This window comes from Homo sapiens, chromosome 1, assembly GCF_000001405.40.
Source record: "Homo sapiens chromosome 1, GRCh38.p14 Primary Assembly".
NCBI lineage: Eukaryota > Metazoa > Chordata > Mammalia > Primates > Hominidae > Homo > Homo sapiens.
In genome coordinates this window covers 98,701,798-98,727,395 of record NC_000001.11, presented here as the reverse complement: position 1 = coordinate 98,727,395, position 25,598 = coordinate 98,701,798, and the positions used below count along the sequence as shown (strand labels likewise).

The following is a 25,598-nucleotide window of genomic DNA, read 5'->3' as shown; positions in this document are numbered from 1 at the left end:
TATCTACCTTTAATCTTTGAGGTTGCTGAGCTTTGGATGGGTTTTTGTGGGGACACTTTTATTGATGCTGTTGTTGCTGCTGTTTGTTTTTCTTTTAACAGTCAGGCCTCTCTTCTACAGGGCTGCTGTGGTTTGCAAAATAAATTTGGTAGAAAAGTAAACAATCATTTTTTAAAAACTTTATTTGAGACAGAGTCTCGCTGTGTCACCTAGGCTGGAGTACAGTGGCGCAATCTCAGCTTGCTGCACACTCCACGTCCCGGGTTCACGCCATTCTCCTGCCTTGGCTTGCCAAGTAGCTGAGACTACAGGTGCCCGCCACCATGCCCAGCTAATTTTTTGTATTCTTAGCAGAGACGGGGTTTCACTGTGTTAGCCAGGATGGTCTCGATCTTCTGATCTCATGATCCACCCGCCTCAGCCTCCCAAAGTGCTGGGATTACAGGCATGAGCCACTGCACCCGGCCAAAAAAACTTTATTTTTAAGTGCCTATTATGTGCCAGGCATTGGCCTAGACACAGGACAAAGGGCACAGGATGAATATGAGAGGGAAGGTCCTGCCTCTGGGAGCTTACAGTCTAGCAGGGACTTAAGATTCACATTGCACTGGGCATTCCCTGGCATTCTACCTTAACAGTTGCCTTAGAGTTTCTCAATGAGTTTTCTTTTTAAAATAAAATAAGTACCCTCCAAACTAAATCTTAAGAAATCCAGACAATCTAGATCCAAAAAAAATCCCCTTAAAAAGGAAATATATCTCCATATTCAATGGATATTCCTTACTGGACTAAATATTCACTTGATGAAATTAAGGTACATACTAATATAGATAAGTAAACAATCAGACATAATCAAGCTCAGTTGAATGACATCTTTATTTCCAGGACATTTTTACATGTCCAGTGCTCTGCTACATGTGGTGAGAAAGACATGTACCTGTTATGAAGAGGATGCAACACCTGCCTCAACGATAAGTTTCCTGTCTCCTAATAACAAATGCTTCTGGCTTTAGGTCAAGACTCAGATTATACTGGCCACTCAGGCAGCTCCACTTTGAAGAAATAACATTCCATCTTTCTCAGTTGCCTTAGGGTATTAACAATTTGGTGTTACCTGCTTCTCTTGCTCCTTTCTTACTGAACTTTAAAAATTTACAAAGACACACATTTATCAGTCAGTGATCTAAAGTCTGGGCTCTGAAGTCCTGTGGGTTCGAGTCCTAACTGTGTGAATGCAGACAAGGTCATTTCCTTCAGAGGGTGCAGTTTCCCCCTCTGTAAAATGCGGCACCCTGGTGTGATTATGAGAAGATTTTTCTTAAGGTATCAGAATTGTCCTAAATGAATCTGCCCTCTCACTTATCCTGTGTTAAGGAACTGAGGACCTGTAAGAAAAGAAAACCACAGGAGAAACAAAGAGCTATGTTATTAATAACTCAGTAAGCTCCTCAATAGCCCTGACAAAGCCTGAGAGTGTTGGTGGGTGAACTGAACAATGAAATGTTTCAGGCCAAAAAGTCTTCTATTATAGTAAGACCCTTCTCCAAATCAGATAGTTGAAGCCAAAAAGCCCAGAAATTACCTCTATTTTAGAAACTTAGGTTGCCACGCTACCTCAATAAATTATTCCTCTCAAATCCAAGACATTTTAGTGTCTTGCAAATTATGGAATGTAAATACCCTAAGACAAAAATATGCAAATGGATGTTTTCCCCCTGAATCTGAAAGCACTTTAGAATATACTTCCTGGTAACTAAAAAAAGCTGTCTAGCAATCTAAGAAGAATAAAAGCCAAGACCATCCCTTTCGACTTCCAAACATCTTTTTAGGCCTTTAGTTTTTTATTAGAGATCAGTTTTTTTAAAGTATATTAACTCAACCAACAACTGTTTCTTCAGCACTTACTTCATGCCAAGTACCATACCAGGCACAGTGCCCCCTTGTGAAATGTTTTTCTTCCTTTCTCATTCGTTTTTGGAACACTTCTTTCATAGAGGCAAATATTTGCCTAATATCACAAAGTCCTTCCAATCCGGATATAGTCTCACGATGAGACCACTAAGGAATGCTTTAACATGTTTTTCTCAAATTGGGATTCCTATATCTACATCAACACACAGTGATGGCCTAAGGATCGCCAAAGTCATGAATAAACATGGAATAATTTTCATAGATATTTTACAGAGATTAAACCATTTTTAAATTAACAAATATAAATATATCATGGAGTAGTGATATTCACACAAGATTTAAAACAGGAGAGCTTAAAGAAATTTTGAGTTTGCATTGCCCATGAGGGGGTACCTCTCAGACTTACTGGAGCATATATTCCAACTTTCCTATACCATAGAAAGTAAACTCCTTTGGTAAAAATGTTTGAACCGTACACCATATTAAAATATGTGTTAAAAGAAACTCTGCTTGACTGCTAAACTATACATTTAATAAATAATTAATATACTTTAGCATGATGATTCTAGAGGAGTTAATTTTCATAATCACTAACAGTTTTATCAAAGTATCAATTATAAAAATTATGGATTGAGAAATCAGCTTCCCTACAGTCTGTTTCTCTAGGAATAGCTGCCAGAATGGCAGAAAATATCCAGTCAAAACCTTTTTAAATCACTGCAATTTATTATTGCTAAAAAGCAATCTAGGGAGAAATTTCAGTTCTCTCTCTAAGAAAGAGCCACCCATGTTGACTATTTAATTAATAATCTTCCATCACTTATCCCTGATTTTGTAATCTAGAACTAGAGCAAATAAGCATCCTTTATCCTTATTCCGTGATTGTCTCTATACATACAATAGTAAGGTCATATGTTAGCACAATTAAAATTTAGAGTCTTTCCAATATTATTACTAAGCCCCTAATGTCTAAACATCTTATGAGGTCTGCTCCTAATACATTATGAAAAGAGTTATTTCTTCATTAACAAATAATAACATTCTCATACAAATTAATCTAGTATGTAAAAATTTACGAGGCTAGCATAACTTTGATACAAAAAGCGGCATTTCTGGCAGAAGCAACTATAATTACAAATCATTCTTATTCAGAAATGTGGATACAAAAGTCCTAAAAAAGAAAGTGAGCAAGCCAAACCCAGCAATGGCCAGAGTGGGTTTACCCGGGGCCCCAAGAATGGTTAACATGAGAAAATCTCTAGTGTAAGTTGCCACAAGAAAATAATAAGAAATGTACAATTATCTGAGTAGACACAGAAAATCATTCTGAAAGCTCGATATTAACTTATGAATCAACTCTCATCAAATAGGAGTAAGAACTGCCCCAGCCTGATTAAAAATATATAGGATAAAAAACTATAGCAAACATTATTACTTATGACAAAAATCTTAGAAGCATTTACTTTACAATCAGGAAAAATACAAGAATGTTCTATCACTAAGAACATTATAATTTTTTTTTGCCAGCTAACAATGAAAAAGAAAATATGAAGTCTAATTATTGAATAAATAAGACAAAACTGCCAATATTCACCCGTAATAGAATTTTCTTTCTTTTTTTTTTGAGTCAAAGTCTTGCTCCATCACCCAGGCTGGAGTGCAGTCATGCGATCTCAGTTCAGCGCAACCTCTGCCTCCCGGGATCAATCAAGCAATTCTCCTGCCCCAGCCTCCCAAGCAGCTGGGACTACGGGCATGCACCACTACACCCAGCTGCTTTTTTTTGTATTTTTAGTAGGGATGGGGTTTTGCCATGTTGGCCAGGCTGCTATTGAACTCCTGACCTCAGGTGATCCGCCCACCTAGGCCTCCCAAAACGGGTGTGAGCCACTGCACCCGACCTAGAATTTTCTATGTAGAAAACCCATCTATAAATTATTAAAATTAAAAATAACTTAAATCATTAAATATAGAATAGGTATGCAAAAGTGAATTACTTTTCTCTAATTCTGGCCAAAAAAAAGGCCATAAAATGTTTTAAAATACAAAATTTATGATAAATACAAGCCAAAAAAATAAGGTACTTAGTAATAAATTTAACAAAAAGTATACACAGCCTTTTTGGGGAAAAAAAACCGTTTAAAACTTTATTGAGAGATACTGAAGGAGTTTCAAAGAGTGAAGTATCTAAAACAAATCATCTATTTTAAGTCTTTTTCTGGTTTTCTTTCATCTCAGCTTAAATAATAGTTCCCAGATAATGCTTCCCAAAACATTTATGTACAAAGCAGGGTTGTTGTTCTTTTTGTTTTTTGTCTTTGTTTTTTGCTATTTCCTATCTCAGTCCATTCATTTCCTTAGCATTCATTAGATCTTGCAATTATTTTATTTATTTGTCTTGTACTTTTCTGTTGGGATGTAAGGTCTACCATGAGGGGCCTGGGGTCTATTCATCTTTTCATTGTTATCCCCAGTGTTTACACTAGGTGGGAATCTGGTAAATATGTGTAGATTGAATGGGTGATTTTAGGAAAGTGAAAGGTTAGTAATTAATCCAGGCTTATTTCTCCTACTGGCTTTATGAGTATTATTTCTTTACATAGATGTGTATCTACGTAAAGATATATCACCAACATTTTTGAGCAAAATAATAAAATTTGAGGATGATAGTTATTCTTACTTAAAAATATCATCATTGTTTTCCTTTTTAAATGGAAGCTATATCACCAACATTTTTGAGCAAAATAATAAAATTTGAGGATGATAGTTATTCTTACTTAAAAATATCATCATTGTTTTCCTTTTTAAATGGCTTATCTATTATTTCCTTTTATGGAAAAAAAAATCAACCATTCAATCCATTTATTCAAATGCTAAAAATTTCTCTTCATAATCAGAAAAGCTGGGAAATTATCATTTTGAAAAGTTCTTGAAAATAATATATCTAAATAAAAGGATTAAGATTGCCACTCCATCAGAAGACAATAGAAAATTCTGAAATTCATTTCTAATCTGACAGCTACCTCTTCTTAACAAGTATTAATTAAATTGCAGGGGAAAGATAAGAGGGCTCTTAACAATAAAACTGTATTATTTTCTGATTCGTGAGAGAGGTGAGATGTGTCTAAAGAAATTAGATGCTTGATTATACAATGCTGCTTAAGCATACATGTGATTACTAAGTAGTACCTTTTTTACATACTTTACAATACATACTTTTCTTAAAAAGTGGAAACCTCTCTCTCTGAAACCCACTGCAGATTTTGTTATCCAAACGTAACTTGTTCAGTAAAACACAATGCATTTTCTAAAAATGACAAATTGAGTCATAAAACACCCACAAATGTAGTTAACGCATCACGTTTCAAGCCAGCACCTTCAACACCATTAACATCCCTCAAATCATGATTATAATTTTTTGTGACATTGCAGGAAACAGAAAACCAATTATTTAAAGGGCCACATTTTAGAACAGGTAGAGATCTCCTCAGAATCTTCTATACAACAAAAGCCACTAAATATACATCAGAATATAAAGGATTCACTTCTTTCTAGGTGCTTCTATCAGTCATTAATATATTTCTATTAAAAAGAAATGATGTGGCTCCTTAAAAATAAAACAAAAAAATTCACAGTCCTTTACCTCTTTAGATGTAATTCCCTGTACTTTTCTGCAAAATATAACCTAAGCCTAGAAAAGCAGTATGTTCAATTACCATTAGGCTTTCCAAAGTTAAAAATTATTTCAAAGCCAAAAATCAAAATTTATTTATTTCACAGAACTTCACAGGCCAATTTTCTGTTATTAAATATTTTTATTTTACTCACTACTTAACTAAACAATATCTCATATATTATCTCATTTAGTTCTCAATATACCCTGTAAGGTAAATATTATTTTTCCCAGTTTACTTACAAGAAAAAATAAGGCTTATTGAAGTATAAAAGTGACTTATTTTGAAACTTTGATCTAGAACCTAGGTTCTCTATAGCTTGTGATGCAAACCTTAACATACTACAAAACTCCAAAATTGGGTAGATGAGGTTTAAGGCATATACAAGACAGCTCACAATACTACACAAAGGAACTTCCATTTATATTTAACTGCTATGCATTGTCTTTAATGTCTACTTACGTGCACAGTTTATAACACAAGTAAAACATGAGTATAGTACAGGTTAAGTATCCCTTATCCAAAATGCTTAGGATCAGAAGTGTTTCAGATTTTGGAATATCTGCACTACACCTACCGGTTCAGCATTCCTAATCTGAAAATCCAAAATCCAAAATGCTCCAAAGAGCATTCCTGTGAGCGTCATGTCAGTACTCAAAAAGTACCAGATTTTGGAGCATTTTGGGTTTTGGAGAAATGCATTGGGAACACAAACTTGAGGTGCAAGTAAATAATCTGTAAATTAAAAATGAACATCTATTGGGAGATGTGCTTAAAAAATATTTATTTGATGGAGTATGTGATCAAGAGTCTGATGACTACCATAGTATTTTTGCTCTAGTACTGTGTACACTGTAGTTTTAATCAGGTGAATTCCCCTGATGTTTCTTTCAGACATTCATCTCTTTTCTGTCTGAATCCCTACCAAAGCTAAAACTTCCATGAGAAATGATCTCCCTTCTTTGATTCGATCAACCAAACTACCATATATAAAAAACAGCTCCTAATGCTGCAACATACTGTAAAACAAATCCAGCCAAATAGAACATTCTGTGATGATAGAAATATTCCATTCTGGACCGTCCAAAATGGTACCAATAGCCACATGTGACTACTGAAATTCAGCTAGTGTGACTGAGAAACTGAATTTTTAGTTGTGTTTAATTTTAATTAATTCAAATGTAAGAGTAAACAGCACATGTGGCCAGTGGGTACCATAATGTATAGCATGGCTCTAGAAAGTTGTGATCATGTAACTGGAATAGTGTCATATGTATAGCTCAAGTATAAAAATTAGGGGTTCACTCAAAAAAGTATCCTTTAATAAGGATAAAATTGCTTTCATGTGTTTTCCTAGAAATACTCTAATATTACTGAATATTTTCTCAATCACTTCATTTTGAAAAATGAGGTAATATTTTATAAGAAATATTAGCCTGAGGCAAATTCAATTAATGGTAGTTTTAGATATACATAGTAGTCTACTAACGGAGTTATTTTTTAAAGAAAGGAGACAAAGATTAACAACAGTTATTTCTAGGAAATCTCTCATGATTCAGGTATTTGATTATTATTATAAATATTTTATAGTTTACTTTTAAAAGCTCTGTAAATAGACAAGCAAGAGGAACAAAGAGTGGGGGTAGACAAGTCCTGCCATTTATCAAACATATTACAAAACCTCCATTATTGACACAGTATGGTCTTGGAGCATTAACAGACCAAGAGAACATATAGAAAGTCTTATCATCGTTGCATATGAAAACGAATTAAGTATATTTCGAAGGCAGCATCAAATCACTAGGGAAAACATGATTATTCAATAGATAACGGGTACGACTGGGACAGTTATTAAAATATATACAGTTGAATAATATATATAATATACATAGTTGAAATATATATTATAGTTGATATATACCATTAAAAATATATATTTTATATATATAGTTGACTCAAAAACCTCATATTTATAAGAATCAATTTCAAATGGCTCAAAGATTCTATTGTAAAAAAGGAAACTCAAAAATTAATGGAAGAAACCACGAGACATTTTTTTCTGTCACCTGAAGTAGAACACTCTCTAACTCATCCTTAAAGGTAAAATCTTTAAGAAAAAGATAGATAAACCTGACTTCATAAAAACTAGAAACTTCTGCTAGTAAAAATCAGTACAAAAAATTACAATATAAATAAAAAATAAAGACTAATTTCCCGAATAAGAAGTTCCTATAAATCAGAAAGACAGAGATCAAGAATTAATAGAGAAAATATAATGAACAAAGACCAGACACTGACAGATAAAAGCAATACAAATTTTACTTAAATATATAAAGCAATGCTTAACCCCACTCATCAGATGAGAAATGCCAAATTAAACCTACAAGGGGATACCATTTTTCACTTTTGAGGAGGCAACAATTCAACGGTTTGATATCTCCCCTTAACAAGACTGCGGGTGGAGGGTACAGGAATAAGCCAGCTGGTGAGAATGTAAATAGCTTTTCTGTGGACAGCAGCTGGGTGGTAACAAGAACAGCAGCAGCAGAAGAGCTAACTCTTTTATCCCTTCCTATGGGCCAGGCAATATTCTAAGCACCCTACATGGGTTAACACATTTAGCACTATGAGCTAGGTACTATTATTATCTCTAATCCACGAAGTAATAAACTGAGGCATGGAGAAGTTAGCTAATTTGCTCAAGATCACTCATCTAGCAAAGGGCTATCAAAATTAAATACCCTCCGATTTAGCAATTTCACTTCTAAGTATTCTAAAGATCTACTGGTATACTTACAAATAACGTGTACAAAATTCTTCATTAAAGCATTATTTATAGTCACAAAATATCAGAAATAAATATTTACCAGCAGGGGTCAGGTTAAATAAATTCTGCACAGCCATACAATGGGATATCATGTAGCTGTAAAACATCAATAAATGGAATGATCTCCAAGATATCTTACTACATTAAAAAAGCACAGTGCAGAAATCTTTAGAGTGTATTACCACACGAATTAAAAAGTCAGAATGTATATTGGTATTTATTGCATATGCATAAAGAAAGTGGAAGGCTACAGAAGTAACTAACAATAGGATGTGCTTATACTAATAACATGGGTAGTGGGACTTGGGAGAATAGGATATTGGGATGGGCACACTTTTCACTGGGTGTGTTTTCTAAATTTATGAATTTTGAGCCATGTGAATATATTATCTTTTCAAATAAATCATAATTTGGGGTTATTTTTATAAGCAATGCACTAATTAGTTATGTTAGAGCTGAAGACTATATATCTTACGGGATGAATGAAATGTTGAAGTACCTAATGTTATATAAATGAGTAGTGGTTGTTGGGAAGTAATATTTGTAGGGACACATTACATCTGGATTCAGAAAATAAGGCATAAAAATGGAGACTCTGAGTTCCTTTTTCCTGATGTGTGTATATATTTCCTCTTCCAATAAAAGTGTTAGATGATAAAAGAAGTATTGAAAATGCATGTGAAAGTGGAAAAGGTGTTATTTCTATATTAATGTATTATTTAATATATACTAAAAACCACACATTCATGTGTGATCTTGACCTAAAGTTAATTTAAATATTGTAACTAAAAATTTGACATTGGACAAAAACTATGTTTTTTGGTGAGGGACCTTCTTCAGGAAGTGTGTTAGGGAAGCCTTACATTTGCACTTCTATGTGCAATAAGTAATTCGCACATCTGGCACTTCTCTTACCATCTGACCTATGTGCATGCCCCTTTCATTTCCTCATTTATGGAGTGCCCATTATATGTCTTGCATTTTCCTGGTACAAGGGTCTGCAACAGCTCTTTAAATGCATTAAGGTTTATTTTGAATGCATTTCACGGATATATGTCTTTTTTCTCACTAAGTTTACATTAAAAGCTTCTAAATAAGAAGGTCTCAGAAGCAACAGAATCTGCCCCCTGGGAAGGACACTATCTTTGTAATTTTGTGTATTTTGAAAATGCCTCTTACCCTCTCCCTACCCACACTGCTTATGAGAACCACTGACATACATTAAGGAAAGAAACTGTACCTCCTTATCTCATTTCATACCCTCTTTGTGACTGAGAGATAAACAAGGCAGGTCAATTTAACCTAAAATAAACACTATTAAGACTGCCAGTTCACTGTAATAAAATATTTCAAGTCACCAATGATGTTCTGGCAAAGAGAATTTATCACGTGCAAATTCTGATTGGTATTAATTATTTGAAGCATGTTGGTAAGTATTTTCTGAGGATTGTTCTGGGATTAGATATAGCGGTTTCTGCAACGGGTAAAGCAGTAGTAGGCTATGTACAAGTATCGTCTTGGAATACAGTTTTGAAGTCCTGAAATATAGTTAATAGCACAATTTCTGAAGTTCTGCTTCAAAAATTCCTGCATGTGCAATGTTGTTCAAGTAATTCTATTTCTCTGTTCCTCAACTGTGACATTTATAAAACATATAAAACTTATAAAATGAGGAAAATAATAGTACCTACACCCCATTGTATTGTGTGAGACTGAAGTGAAACAATACACACAGAACATTTAGGACTCTGCCTGGCACATCGTGTGTGCTCAAGAAATGTTAGCTATTATTATTATTATCATCAATTAGTTTTAGTATGACTTGTTGATCTAGTTAACACATAATTCCATATAATAATTCCTTGAAAGAAAAAAAGACTTTCAACTCTCTGAGATAATTATAACTCTATGTATTTCAAAGCATTTCCCAGTGGCAATTTACAATTTATTATGAAATCCAAGTTTTTTTTTTTAAAGAAGATAAAAGAAGAAAACACCAAACTTTTATTCCTTTTTGCTTTGATTTTAGTAGTAGATAATTGTTACTTGCCTTAAAATTTTCTCATCTCCCTATGTATTTCAAAGCATTTCCAAGTTGCAATTTATAATTTATTATGAAATCTAAGTATATTTTTTAAAGAAGATAAAAGAAGAAAACACCAAACTTTTATTCCTTTTTGCTTTGATTTTAGTAGCAGATAATTGTTACTTGCCTTAAAATTTTCTCATCTCCATGGACTTCAGACCCACCCATTGGGAAAAAAAAAATTGTATTTATGATACATCAGGGAGTACAGAGTTAGGTTACAACTCTGGCTCTTCTATTTAACTAGCTGTATAACTGTGAGCAAATCACTTAACTTTCTTATCAAAATCTCCACTACTACCTTCTTTTTTTATGCCATCATCACCCCCTACTCATGGTAGTGGATTCAACACAGCTTTCTGTTTTCCCATGCAGGAAACATAATGAGCATTTGAGAGCAACTATAAACTCTTCCTTTCTCTTTTCCCTTCATGAACAACTCAGCTCTAAAGGTTAATCACTGCAGGTAGAACAAGACTAATGTCCACACTGGTGGAGAAAAGGAGGCAAAGTCATGGTGGCCTAGTACAGATTGTCAAAGCAGCGAGATGAGGAGGTAGTTCCTGCAAACAGTGGCCTAGAGTAGGGAGTAACTGCCCAAGTAGGATGAAGAGGGCACCATATGGGGATAGGAGGCAAACCTACCATGGGGAAACAGAAGTGTGTTAAAGAGGAGGTATGGCCCTTGCAGGGTGTGAAAGCCCAAGTGGAGTGGGAAGTGCCACCAACTTAGGAAAGATGACTTGGGCTATACAGGATTGGTTATATACAGGGGGATTAATCAAATAAGTAGATATAAAAAAGATGAGAGCCTGTCTCTCGCTGTCAGAAAGGGAACTACAAATACGGAAAATAAAAGATATCAAGAATGAATCCCTATAACTAGATTAAAATTGGAGGCACTGGTGTAAATTCATTGTTTTTATATATATGTAAATACAGAAATACATCATAGATATAAAAACGTGTGTGTGTGTGTGTGAATATGATTAAACAGACATACTCCCTAGCTCTGCTCATACAGAAGGTCTTGGATAGTGATACCTCAATAGCAATGAACACATCTAATGCCAAGATATTGTATTCTAAACATAACTTTTTCTACCAAAAGGAACCAGGGCTCATTAGAGAAATAACTGATTCCAGGGCTGAGCCAGGTAAAGCATACGAGAGTCAGAACGTTTTGTTGTATCAGAAGCAAAGAGGTGATCAAAATGATGTGAACATATCAAAAGGGCATAGAAGCCAGCTTGAAGATGGTCCCACTCATCAAATTTGGGTAACTCGTGCATCAAAACAAGTAATGATAATAAAACCCATGTCTTAAAATAAAAACAAATTCATACATGAATAAATTGAAAGTTAAAGTATGATAAGGCATGGGATCATCAGTCTCAAAGACGCTCCCCACAAAACACTTACTAATTACATTGGAAAAAGAGTGACTTTTATAGTGGAGAAGCTGGACGGACATTGCCTTAATCAGTCATCAAACGGTGCAGAATCATTAATGGGACAAATAAACATCATATACTACCTAAAAAGAATCAATGAAAGGATCACAGTAACACTTAAGTGACATTCCCGTCAAAGACTGATAATATAAATCTAAGCTTAAGGAAATATGAAACAAGTTAAAATAGGAGGCATGCTACAAAATAATCTTCAAATGTAGAATGGCCATGAAAGTTAAGGGAAGATGAAAGACTGTTCCAGACTGAAGGAGACATCTAACTAAATACTGTCAAAAAAACATTAGAGAACTGGTGAAACTTGAATGGGTCTGAGCATTTGATAATATAAATATATCAATAACTTATTGATATTGATGGTTGTACTATAGTTATATAGGAAAATATTCTTGTTTGTAAGAAACACACTATTCAAAGGTTATTAGATTTACAACTTATTCTCCAATGGTTCAAAAGAAATGCAGGTCTTTGAAGTGTACTTGCAAATTTTCTGTAAGTTTGTCACTTGGAAATAAATTTAAAAACATGTAACACATCAAATCACAACTCTTCCCCACTTGAAACCCTTCAGGGGCTCTCCATTGCAAACAGAAGAAAACTCAAGGCCTACACATTGTTCGTCCGCTCGCTTTCAGTCCTCATGCCATAGTGCTGCGCCTCTGTCCTTCATATTCTAGCTACTTGCAACCTAACAAACCTCCTGGAACATGTGAATTCATTCTCATTTCAGAGGATCATGGCTTTTCCTCCTTCTTCCAACACTGGTGCTCCAGAATTTGGATCAATGGCCCCTTATGATGATTCAGCTCTCTTCTCAAGGTCATCTCCTCAGAAAGGCCTTCTCTGATCACTCTAGATACTTCCCCTCCTGGTATTCTTTATCATGTTACCCTGTTTTATTCTCTTTATAGCACTAATCACAGTCTAAAATTATCATATTCATTTAATTTTTTTACTTATTTTCAGCATCCTTCCACTAGAGAATAAGCTCCTAGGGAGACGGGCTTTTTCAGTCTTCTTAAGGAGCCAAGAACTATTTGCTGATTGACTCTCTAGGACTCAATTTTCCCGTCCACAAAAATGGGAACAAATTACTACCTATCTCACAGGATTAGACATTGGCTGATATATGTGAATGCTTAGCATAGTGCCTGGCATACAACATGTACTAAATAGATGTTAAATATGCTTATAAAATGAAAACACTAGTTTGGGTCTAGAAATTCTCTGAAAGTTGAATAGCCATGTGACTGGGGCATTGACACCCCTCTAAATTGACTACTGACTAAGATTCACCAGAGAGAAAAGGCTTACTCTCCAAAGTCTACTAATTATACAACTATACCTCATTTTATTGTACTGTGCTTTTCTGTGCTTTGCAGATATTCCATTTTTTTTCTAACAAATTGAAGCTTTGTGACAACCCTGCACTGAGTAAGCCTACCAGCATCATTTTTCCAACATGTGCTTACTTCACGTGTCTGTGTCACATTTTGGTAATTCTTACAACACTTCAAACTTTTTCATTATTATCCTATCTGTGATGGCGATCTGTGATAAGCAGTCTTTGATGTTACCACTGTAATTTGGAAGAGGGGGCAGAATTGTGTCCATATAAAGTAGTGAATCTAATCCATAAATGTGTATGTTCTGACTGTATCACTGACCATTCTCCTGTCTCTGTTCCTCTCCTTCGTATTCCCTGAGAGACAATAATATTGAAATATGACCAATTAATAACCCTACAATGGCTTTTATGTGTTCAAGTGAAAGAAAGAATTGAGCATCTCTTACTTTAAATCAAAAGCTACAAATGATTAAACTTAGTGAGGAAGGCATTTCAAAAGCTGAGACTGGCTGCAAGCTAGGCCTCTTGCACAGAACAGTTAGACAAGTTCTGAATGCAAAGAAAAAGTTCTTGGAAGAAATAAAAATGCTATTCCAATAAGCACATGAATTATAAGAAAGCAAAAAAAAAGCCTTATTGCTGATATGGAGAAAGTTTTAGTGGTCTGAGTAGAAGATCAAACCAGCCATAACATTCCCTTAAGCCAAAGCCTAATCCAGAGCAATGTCCTAACTCTTCAATTTTATGAAGGCTAGGAGAAGTGAGGAAGCTGGAGAGGAAATGTTTGAAGCTAGCAGAGGTTGGTTCACTAGGTTTAAGGAAAGAAGCTGTCTCCGTAAGATAAAAATGCCAGATGAAGCAACAAATGCTGATGTACAAGTTATAACAAGTTATCCAGAAGATCTAACTATGATCATTGATAAGGATGGCTACACTACAAACAACAGATTTTCAATGTAGACAAGTTTTTTTTTTTTTTTTTTCCTGAGACAGAGTTTCGCTCTTGTTGCCCAGGCTGGACTGCAATGGCACGATCTCGGCTCACTGCAACCTCTGCCTCCTAGGTTTAAGCAATTCTCCTGCCTTAGCCTCCCGGGTAGCTGGCATTACAGGCATGTGCCACTATGTCTGGCTAATTTTCTATTTTTAGTAGAGACAGGGTTTCTCCATGTTGGTCAGGCTCATTTCGAACTCCCAACCTCAGGTGATGTGCCCGCCTCAGCCTCCCAAAGTGCTGGGATTACAGGTGTGAGCCACTGTGCCCAGCTGACAAAAGTTTTATATTGGAGGAAGATGCTATCTAAGACTTTCATAGCTAGAGAGGAAAAGTCAATGCCTAGCTTCAAAGGACAGCCTGACTCTCTTGTTAGGAGCTAATGTAGTTGGTGATTTTAAGTTGAAGCCAATGTCCATTTACCATTCTGATAATCCTAGTGCCCTAAAGAATTACTCTAAATCTACTCTGCCTGTGCTCTATACCTGAAATAACAAAGCCTGGATGACAGAGTTATCTGTTTATAGTATGGTTTACTGAATATTTTAAGCCCACTCTTGAGATCTACTGCTCAGGAAAAAAGATTCCTTTCAAAATATTACTGTTTATTGACAATGTACTTGGTCACTGAAAAACTCTGACGGAAATGTACAAGGGGATTAATACTGCCTTCATGTCAGCTAATGTAACTTCCATAGTCCATGAGTCAATGAGTCATTTAGACTTTTGAGTCTTATTATTTAAGAAATACATTTTGTCAGGCTGTAGCTGCCATAGATTGTGATTCCCTTGATGGAACTGAGTAAATTGAAAATCTTCTGGAAAGAATACACCATTCTAGATTCCATGAAAAATATATGGGATTCATGGGAACAGACCAAAATATTAACATTTATAGGAATTTGGAAGAAGTTGATTCTAACTCTTATAGATGACTTTGAGCAAAGGGTTCAAGACTTCAGTGGAGGAAGTAACTGCAGGTGTGGCAGAAATAGTAGAGAACTATAATTAGAAGTAGAGCCTGAAGAGATGACCGAATTGCTACAATCTCATGATAGAATTTGAACAGATGAGACGTTGCTTCTTATGGATGAGCAAAGAAAGTGATTTCTTGAGGCGGGATCTACTGGTGAAGATGCTGTGAGTATTCTTAAAATGACAACAAAGAACTCAGAATATTATGAAAACTTAGTTGATACAGCAGTGGCAAGTTTTGAATGGATTGGCTCCAATTTCAAAAGCAGTTCTGTGGGTAAAATGCTATCAAACAACATTGCATGCTACGGGGAATTCACTGGTGAAAGGAAAATCAATCTCTGCAGCAAACTTCCTTATTCTCATATTTTAAGAAATTGCCATAGCTACCCCAATCTTCATCAACCAACACGTAATCAGTCAGCAGCCATCAACATAAAGGAAAGACACTCTACCAGCAAAAAGATTACAGCTCTCTGAAGGCTCATATGATCATTAGCATTTTTAACAATGACATCTTTTTTAACTAAATTATGTACATTTTTTACACATAATGCTATGGCATATTTAATAGACTACAGTATAGTGCAAACATAACTTTTATATCCACTGGGAAGCCAAAAATTTCTTGTGACTTGCTTTATTGTGGCAGTCTGAAACTGAACACAGTATCTCCAAGGTATGCCTGTAATAAATCAAAATGCATTTAATTTAATATATCCAAATGTGCTAGAGGAAAACTACTGGTTCTCTATTTGGTGGGAATACAATTTTTGATTTTTAGTACTAAACTATTTATACTTTAGGCCAGTCCTGTAATCCCAGCACTTTGGGAGGTCAAGGCAGGCGGATCACTTGAGGTCAGGAGTTCGAGATCCAGCCCGGCCAACATGGCGAAACCCTGTCTCTATTAAAAATACAAAAATTAGCTGGGCGTGGTGGCGTGTACCTGTAATCCCCACTACTTGGGAGGCTGAGGCAGGAGAATCACTTGAACCCGGGAGACAGAGGTTGCAGTGAGCCAAGATCGTGCCATTGCCCTCCAGCCTGGGTGACAGAGCTAGATTCTGTCTCAAAATAATAACTATTTATACTTTAAATAATGTTTTATAACACTATGATGAATTATCTAACATTTTACATATTCATACTATAACTTACCAAAATTTTTACTAACACAAGTCCTAGATATATAAACGTTAATTCATCTTCAAAAAAAATTCTTTAAGCGTAATTTCTGCATGTTAATGGATAAAGAATAATTAATGTCTGATTAAGGTCACAAGTTAAATAAAAGTGAATCAAAGCCTTCTCCTGGCTTCTAATTCCTAGTGTGTTACTGCTCTAAGCATTATGAAATATTTATTAAGTGCCCAGGCAGGGCCAGGAGTGAAAGAGATACGTAAGACAGAACCTTAGGACATATTTCTTATTAACAAAAAGTCTAAATTAAAAAGAAATTGAATCTGGTTTGAGTTTCTATATATGAAAGCTATTTAAACTTTCTATCTACGGCAGGCAAACCCCATAAAACACACCACAAATCCAAAGGACACCGTAAGTAGAATTTCTTAAAACCCTGAGAAGAAATGACTGGAATTTTAAACTACCCCTTTTACTTGTCCATCTGTTACTTTTTCGGTTGCAGTTAAGGCAACAGAAAAAAAAAATCTTCCTAGAGAAAGACACAGAGCTTAGTCTTTCGTTAGAAATTATCTGCAACATTGTTACGCTGCCTCTCTTTTTCCACAGTCTTTGTCTTCTTCCTTCTTCTCCCCTTTCACCCTCACCCACCACAAACCTACACAGGCCTTATTCATCAAGACTGTACATTTTTATGTTCTACTTTCAAATTAGCAAACCTTAATATGCAGTTACTTCCCTAAGCAAATTTCATTGGTAAAATTTTGAAAATAGTACGGTATTTTTCACCTCACCCTCTAATATCTCTTGACAAGTTTTCTGGGTAACGGTTACATGAGTCATTCCGTGTTCAGGTTTGTGTTCATAACAGACATGCTGCTGTTTATGAATTTCAAAAGAAATGACTAAAAACACACTTGGGCAGGGTGGGTCACAGTATGTTGTAAGAAATGTGTGGTCTTTAAAATGATTTGGAATACTTTACCTCTAGTTCTTATTAATTTGTTTCTAATTTATTCCTTATTAGATTCCATATTCCATATAAGAGAGCTTCCACAATTGTACTCTACAAGTTTAAAGACAGAAAGTAAAGACATTAGTGCAATGAGAACATGAGAGTAAGGAAAAAAACAAGGTAAAGCCAAGGGTGAGTTTGACACAAAAAAGACACACTTTCTAGACAGAAGTGGATCAGAATTGGGGCTCTCAATAGTCTAGTAACTACTGTAAAAAGTGAGATAAATGGGATAAGATCAGATATAAAACCCAAGATGTGTACAAGCTGAAAATACACTAGCTACTCAGGAGAAATGAAACCATATTGCTGGTGCTGAGATGTAAATGAAAGCTTTCTCATGAGGTCTCATAAAAGAAAAATATAAAATAGTGCTGTTGATGTTTATCATAAATAGATTTATGGTTCTCCTTAAAATGTCCTTCTGATGCATCAATGGTACAACATCGAGTGAGTTGAGTTAAAATAATTCCGTAGGAGTCCAAAGCACAACCTCTCAATAGTCTGCATAAATTCAGATACAATTTAAAGTATCTATGCAACTGCCTAGAGCGACCAGGTAGGGCAAATGGGAGTGGTCACTACACAGCTAAAGCTAATTGCTGCCTCGCTTTTTCTTTTTTCTTATTTTAACACTGTGGAGGTCTCAGAAGCAGGACTGCAGTTAACACTTTCCAAACTTTGATCTAGAAGAATGAAACTAATATATACTTCAAAGAAAGTTCCTTTAACATCGTTTATAGAAATATTTACAATCTAATCCTGGTTAGGCACTGGGCTAAGGTTTCAATATGCTCATTTAACAACACTCTACGGAAGGCATTACCCACATCTCTCACAGTTGAGTAAACTAAAGTATGGAGAATGTTAAGGAACTTGGCCCAGAACTACAAAGGCAGTAAATGGCCCAGATGCCACAAAATGCTGTGCTTTAAATTACACACAACTCTGCAACTGGGATTAAGACCTTATATTAAATACTTTACAGAGACTGCTCTGTTGGGAAGTGGCCAGGGGCACAAAAATAAATGACAGAGAGAAAAATCCAATATGGTAAAATTCCAACCAGAGATCTCAGGCTCAACAGACTCCTATTCATAAGGTAGATACGGTGATTTTTGCAATTTAATCAAATATTCATTATTATCCTTTACAAGTTTATATAAATAGGAGAACACAGTTTTGCTTTTGTACCTACCACTCAAGCCAATGAAGCCTTGAATGAGACAGGGCTGCCGGAGAAGACAGAAAGGGAGAGGAATTCTAGGTACTCCCTGGTACTTTCTTCTGGGAGGAGCTGGCTGCTGAGGGCCTTCTTGATTACAGCATCACTCATGCACCATTCCAAATTCCCCGCCAGCTGTGTGTGTGCAAACCCACTACCCTGCTGCACTGTCTGTGACCAGCATTTATTAGTGTTTTACCCAGAATCCATCCTCTACTCTCCACGTTACGTTCTGCAAAGGCCCCAGTTTTTTCAGGTATCTGTAACTGGGTGTGTATTGTAGCTGATAAGTAAATTCTGATGGCCACATTCCCACTCCATGTGACTGGTTTGATCCTGACTTTTCACAATTCTGACCAACAAGTTTTGAGGAAATGTCAGCCAGGTGCCTTTTAGGATAAACTGATAAAAGGAAATATGCAAGAAAAAAAGCCTTTTCTCATCCCACTGGACACTGTCATGTTCTTTACTGCTGTGTGTGTGTGTATATGTATACATGTGTGGATGGATATGTATCTGTGCATGAGAGACAGACACATAGCTGTAAACAGACAAAAAGAAGCAGAGTAGAAAACAGATTATATTAGGAAATGAGGCATATAGAAAGGAATAATTTGTAAAAAGTTCAGGAGAGAAGTGAGCCAGAAAATATTTAAGAAAAGGAAGAAGCAACCTTCACCTCTGATCACAAGCAAGGCTTGCTATGTCAAAATTATTTCTTTAAAGCTTCCTAGAATTAGAGAGAGAAGGCAATCTTGCTCTGTGCACCATTTATACACTACCAAGATCATCTGAAAATTAATAACCTCTATTTAAGGATGAGAGTAAAACACCAGCCAAAAATAGCATGTCATACTGAATAAGGACCAGCTTGAATAATCTGGTATCTGTTTCTATCTACTGAATGTGGCTGTGCAAAATTCCAGACTATGATGATCTTATGAAAATGCATTTCTTTGCTCACATAAATATACTGCTAAACAGCTATGGCATTATATCTAGATCCAACTTTCCAATTCTATGCACATATTGCTAAATGTCAAATGTATTCATATTCATTTATATTTGAATGCTGCTTTCAGTGGAAAACTATAAATCATCCATTCAGAAATAAAAATAAAATAGATATGCAGTATTATTTAGCACCACAGATGAACCTTATTTATTTTACAGTTAAGCAGTGAAGTGAATAAGCATTTTCAAACAGAAGCTCTGACTCTGAAAACTTATAACAAAATGGCAAAACCCACAAGTTTCTCCAAATATCTGAGTTTCCTCATAATCTCAGTTATTATTATACCTTTATCATCCCAGTCAAAAATTATGGCTTTCATAGGATGGTATCTATCACATTGAATATCTTCTTTACTGGTGCACATAATGCAACTCAATTACTCTTGAAATATTTTAATTATCATATATCAAATTATTTTTTGAAATGCCTCATAAATGGAGAAATGGTTTAAAAAGTTGGATGACCCTAATCAGATCCGTTTAGTTAATCTTACTGGTGCAATGATCTATCACCAGACAAAGCTACATCAAATTCTTTCCCTTCTCCTCCTCAGCCAAAACTTCTGATTCTTCCATTATCATTAATCTCTTAATGTTGAAATATGCCAAGGCTCTGACAGGATAAAGTAAAGGCTCATACTTTAATGACCTTGACAAATGTTATAGCTTTAAATACCATCTATTTGCTAATAATTTCCAAATACATATCTTCAGCTGAACCTATGAATTTTTACATGTAACTCCCTACTCAATAGCTCCATTGGGTGACTAATAGGCAAATCAAACTTTACCTTTCCAAATCTGAGAAAATTATCTTCCCCATTAAACCTGTTGTTTCCAAAGTCTCCTCATCTCAATTAATGCCAACTATTACCTTCCAGTTGCTCTGTCTAAAACCTCAGAATCATCCTTGCCTCTCCTTATTGGCTCACGATCCACAGCCCACCAAATAGCAAACAGCTCTTCCTGCGAAATATACTCAGCTTCTGACCCCTTAACATCACTTCTGCTCTGGTCCAAGCTATTATGTCTCACTGGAAATACTTTAAGAGCTACTCTCCGGCTCTGGCTTTCCTCCATCCCATGCACATACCACATGCACATCATCTTGTGCTTTCTCCAAGCACAATAATCATCTTGTAACTTAAATATGATTATGTTACTCCTCTGTTCAACTATTTTCCTATCTCACTGAGACCAAAACCTTATAAAGCTCTATATGGTCTAACCCCTGGTTAGACCTGACTTCATTTCCCACAACTCTTTTACTTGCTCACTTCATTTCTGCAACACTGGTCTTCTTGCTTCTTCTGGAATGTACAAGCATACTTTCATTGTGCATGTACTGTCCCCTCTGCCTGAAAGGCTCTTCCCCCAGGTACACATATTACTAAAACATTACCTCCTTGGTGAATATTTTACTGACCCCTAATCCTAAATTGCACTGCTCCTCAACACTCTGTCTCCTCCACGCTTATCACTATATGATAATATATTATAAATTTTAATTATTTACTCTTTTTTTAACCCACTAAAACATAAGCCTCATGAGGACCTGGTTTCTTTCCCCAGTGCTGGGAACAGTGACGTTCATATGGTAAATAGTCAATTAACTTTGCTGAAAAGTTTTTGTTGAATACCTCATCTTAAATATCATCTTATCATTATGTAAAGCTGCACACCTCCAGATTTCTTCTTCACTTTTTATTCTGTAGCTCAGTGTAGAGAGCCACGATCTGCCCTGCTGCAAGTTAGAAATGTTAGTTATTAACAACTTGAAACATTGGCTGCCCTTCATTCTTTAAGTGATGTGGATTCTACCCTCTGCCTACGTCTTTCTCATATTAACTCTTCTCTGCAACTCCACTGCCACCTCTTCAGTTCAGGTTCCCACTGCATCCATACTGAGCAAAGGATAAAGTACATATTTCTCAACCTGACAGATAAGGCCTCCTTCCCACCTGACTACAGTCCATCTTTAAGTCACATCCCCTCTTCCTTACTGTACCCTCCCCTCCACAAACCAATCTGGTTTAATCAATTTAGCATGCTTTTTGAGCTTCTAAAGCTTTTCATAATACCCATTCTACCTGAAATATTCCTTGTGCTTTGCAATGAATAATTCCATAGTCATTTTATAGGACCAATCTCAAACATTACCTCTATACTGTCATCAAAATGACAACAGCTAAAAGCTACTGAGTGCTTACTATGATCCAAGCAATTTATTTGCATTACACAATTTAATCCTTAAACAAGCCTATTAGAAAGGTACTAATAATTTCCTCAACCTATACATGATAAAATGAGGCTGAAAGAAGTTAGAAAACTTGTCCTGGGTCACAAAATTCATAAACAGGTAAGCTAGGATTTGATCTTTGATTTATCAAGTTCCAAAGCTTAGATGACAAAACTCTACATGAACAGCTGAACTGACCTTCAAATGAATATTCCGAATGTCTTTACTGACTTAGGTAATTTTGAAACCATTAATTTTATTGCTGTGAGATAAGAACTACAAACCACAAACTCTAAGAAGGAGCCACTTTGCAACTAACCATGTAATGCATCAAGGACTCACTGTCAGATATTATTTTAGTTTGCAGAAAAACACATACCTTTTGTGGGTATATCTGTGTGGTAAGAAAAAGTAACTGTAATGCCATTATTGTTCAAATGCAGGATTATAGGCAAGGTAAAAAGACCAGAGCCCTTGTATTTGCATGCCACAAAATCCACACAAAGGTCATCTGACATAGTCAAATGTCCTCTGGAATGTTACATAACTGCTGTCTTTCTACCCAATAACTATAACTCCTCTAATCTTTGCTTTTCTTACTAGAGCTTCATTTCACTGACCTTTTCATTATCAGTTGCTTTGCTGGGTTTGCACGTAGCATCCCACCCAAAGGTGACTTTGATGGAGTCTCTGAAGGCTGCCCCAATGTCTCCATAGAAATGGCCCCTGGGTTGTCTCCAAAATGGCCCTGTCTGAGTTGCCATGGTAAACAACCAGGCAGACAGCTATATTCAGTTCTCTGCCAGGGTCGCCATGGTGACTGCAAAGGATGGCTCCTTAGAAGGACCTCACAAGGGCACGTTGCCATGGTGACCCTATCCTGCATATTTCTAAGCAACTTCCTTTCAGTCTTTCTGTGACCAATCAAGGCCGGTTCATTTTTAGAGTAACTCTGGTAGATTTCTCCTGAAGATACCATCATAAGGCACAGGGATTTTAAAAGTGAGAAGGCCTATAAACAAATTAATTATTTGAAAATATAAACAGTTCCATTCACAAATCATTAACTCAGTCCCCATAAACTTTAGGAAAAATTTGTTTTGATGATAAACAAAAAAATACCTGCAATCTCTCTGTTAAATGTGTCTGTTTTGAAACTTAATCAACCAAAAGTATCTTACAGAATATAATGCAGATAATTAAAGTTTCAAATTTTTCCAGTCTTACAATGTAGCAGCTACATGGGTATTAAACACTTTAGAGTAGACATGACACACACACCCAAGTGAAATCATAAATATACACTGATTAAGTTATAACAAAATATCAAAAAAATTTTTATACAGCAGAAGACAAAATATTTGCAAGCCCAGTGGAAAAATAATGTGTTTTTTTTTTTTAACTGAGTTGGGAAATCCCAGCCATATTTGGACCCAGGCTATTTTTTTCCTTGTGCTTTTGTGTTTGGAACAATCCCGATTAATCTTCTTTTCATTTTAAAACATGAATATAGGCCATTCTTAACATATGCTTGGTTTTTCAGCCATGCTATTATTCTCCTGAAACTTTAAAATATTCTACTGTTTCTAGTATTTCATCAAGAGCAAAATTTTGTCTAACCACTAACTTCGATATCCTTACTTAACACCTAAAAACAAATTCTAAAATTCAAAAGATGCAATTACAATTTCTATACACATGTGCAGCCTTTCACAGTCAATTCTAATTGACTCTTAACTCTCTCTCTATATATAGTTAAGAACTATATGTATATATGTATATATATGTTTATACACATATGTATATATATGTTTCTTAACTATATATAGAAAGAGTGTTAGGAGTCAATTGTTTCTTATCAAATAGAAAAGGTTAATCTGGGGTTCTCTCTAAATAATAAAGATGAGTTTTCCCTTGAGCACTAGTTCATCTAGTTCTACATTTTCTGTTATTCCCTCTCACAGATTCCTTTCTCCTACTCTGTCTACAGCAGCCCACCACTCCCCACTCACATTCCACTGGAGAGAACAGAATTTCAGTTAATATACATAGTCAAGAAACGTGAGAGTAATTCATAGTATAATAATTCTAAGTTGCATAGAACTATGCAAGTTAGACTTCGTAGACACAAGGACTCTTTGTATTTGTACTCATCTTTTCTGGTTTTCACAATATTAATTAAATAATGAAATAATTGCACATTCTGATTTTGTAGAGACTTCATGCTTCAAGCCTTCAATATGCTTGCACAAATCAGAGTAGTCCCTGTGGCTTCCACTCATTCCTTCACTACATATTTATTGAGTGACTACCATGTGCCAGGCAGTGCACAAGGGCCTGGGAGCACTCCAGTGAACAAATAAAAAAAATCTGCCCTTAAGGAGTTTCAATTATGGAGAGGGAAAGAGAGAGAAAAATATACAAAGAAAACTAATTAGGAAGTCATATGTTAGGAAGTGATTAAAGTTAGGGAGAAAATTAAAGCAGGGAGGGGGGATGCAGAGTCCTTGGCCAGGTCAGGGCTGAGGAGGCTGCAATATTACAGATTTACAGGGAAGTTTCAAGGACTCCCCCGCTCACCTGATGTAAGTGCACTCAATATTGTATTCAATAACAACCTAAATCCTTAAATTTAAAGAAAAATTTTAAAAATATTTCATAATGCACTCAGTAGAAGTTCGTTAGGTTAAAAGTCCATTTTTCCCACTTCTATACCTGCTTTCTGATAGGCAGCACTGTCTGAGGCAGGCAAGAGACGTCATCACCTCCAATCCTATTCTGCATTTCAAGACCTATATATAAACTTAGGCAAATTACTCTACCTTTCAAGAGTCTTCTCACCTTTAAAGTGAGAATAATTATTCCAACCTGATAGTATTACTCTGAAAATGCAAAGATACTAAAATATAAATATAAAAATACCATGGGTAAAATAATCTATATCTAGAATTTGCTTTAGAATACTTCAGTAAAAATTTAAAAATGAGGAGAGACAATAAAAAAAGTTGAGCCAAATGGTGAGAATTAATGAAGCCCAGTTATGAGTATATGAGAGCTCATTGTATTATTAGATCTCATTTTGTTTGAAAATTTCCATAATAAAATATCTTAAGGGAAAGATTAAACTTGCAAACGCAAAGATATTCCCTTTCATAAAGATTTTAACAACACTTAGAAAAGAAGTATACAGGAACATTAATGTATATAAATATCTCAAAAAACTATAAAAAAGTAGATTTACTTACTGAGTACTTACTAGCCTGGAATAATGCTAGCATTGCCTTTCATACTTTCTTCTAACACATTATTTCCTTTTTACAAAATTATACTTTCTTAATAGTATGAGACATAAGTCAGAAAGGCAGAAAACCGTCATTGTTAAGCTTGTAGACTCACATGGTATCCAATGTATAACAGATTTTAGGAAGAAATTTTACTATAATTTGCTTAATGCTTAGAAACAATCATATAAGAAACAATCATGTAAGGACAATCATGTAAGGACATTGCTAATAAAAATTTTAGACAATGAATTCTATATGATTGTATCAAGAAACTTAAAAACTTACCAGATCAGTATCTGCCTTTTTATAGGTCAAAACTTCAACTTTGGAATCCAGTTCTGCTTGTATTTGGTCTCTTCTTTTCATAACACCCTTTACATTAAAACACACA

At 35.3% G+C, this 25,598-nt stretch overlaps 1 protein-coding gene across 9 annotated transcripts in view; it reads right to left on the bottom strand.

Annotated features, from left to right (window-relative positions):
• The window catches only part of SNX7 (sorting nexin 7), a 99,182-nt gene that overhangs the window by 33,105 nt on the left and 40,479 nt on the right, over positions 1–25,598 (bottom strand). For all 9 annotated transcript variants that reach the window (NR_033716.2, XM_017001425.3, XM_017001428.2 and 6 more), the window contains one exon: positions 25,493–25,579. Coding sequence is in view for 8 of the 9 variants with exons in the window: in XM_017001425.3 (XP_016856914.1) it covers positions 25,493–25,579 (87 nt within the window). In the remaining variant the exon portion in view is untranslated. The remainder of the gene's footprint in view (positions 1–25,492; positions 25,580–25,598) is intronic.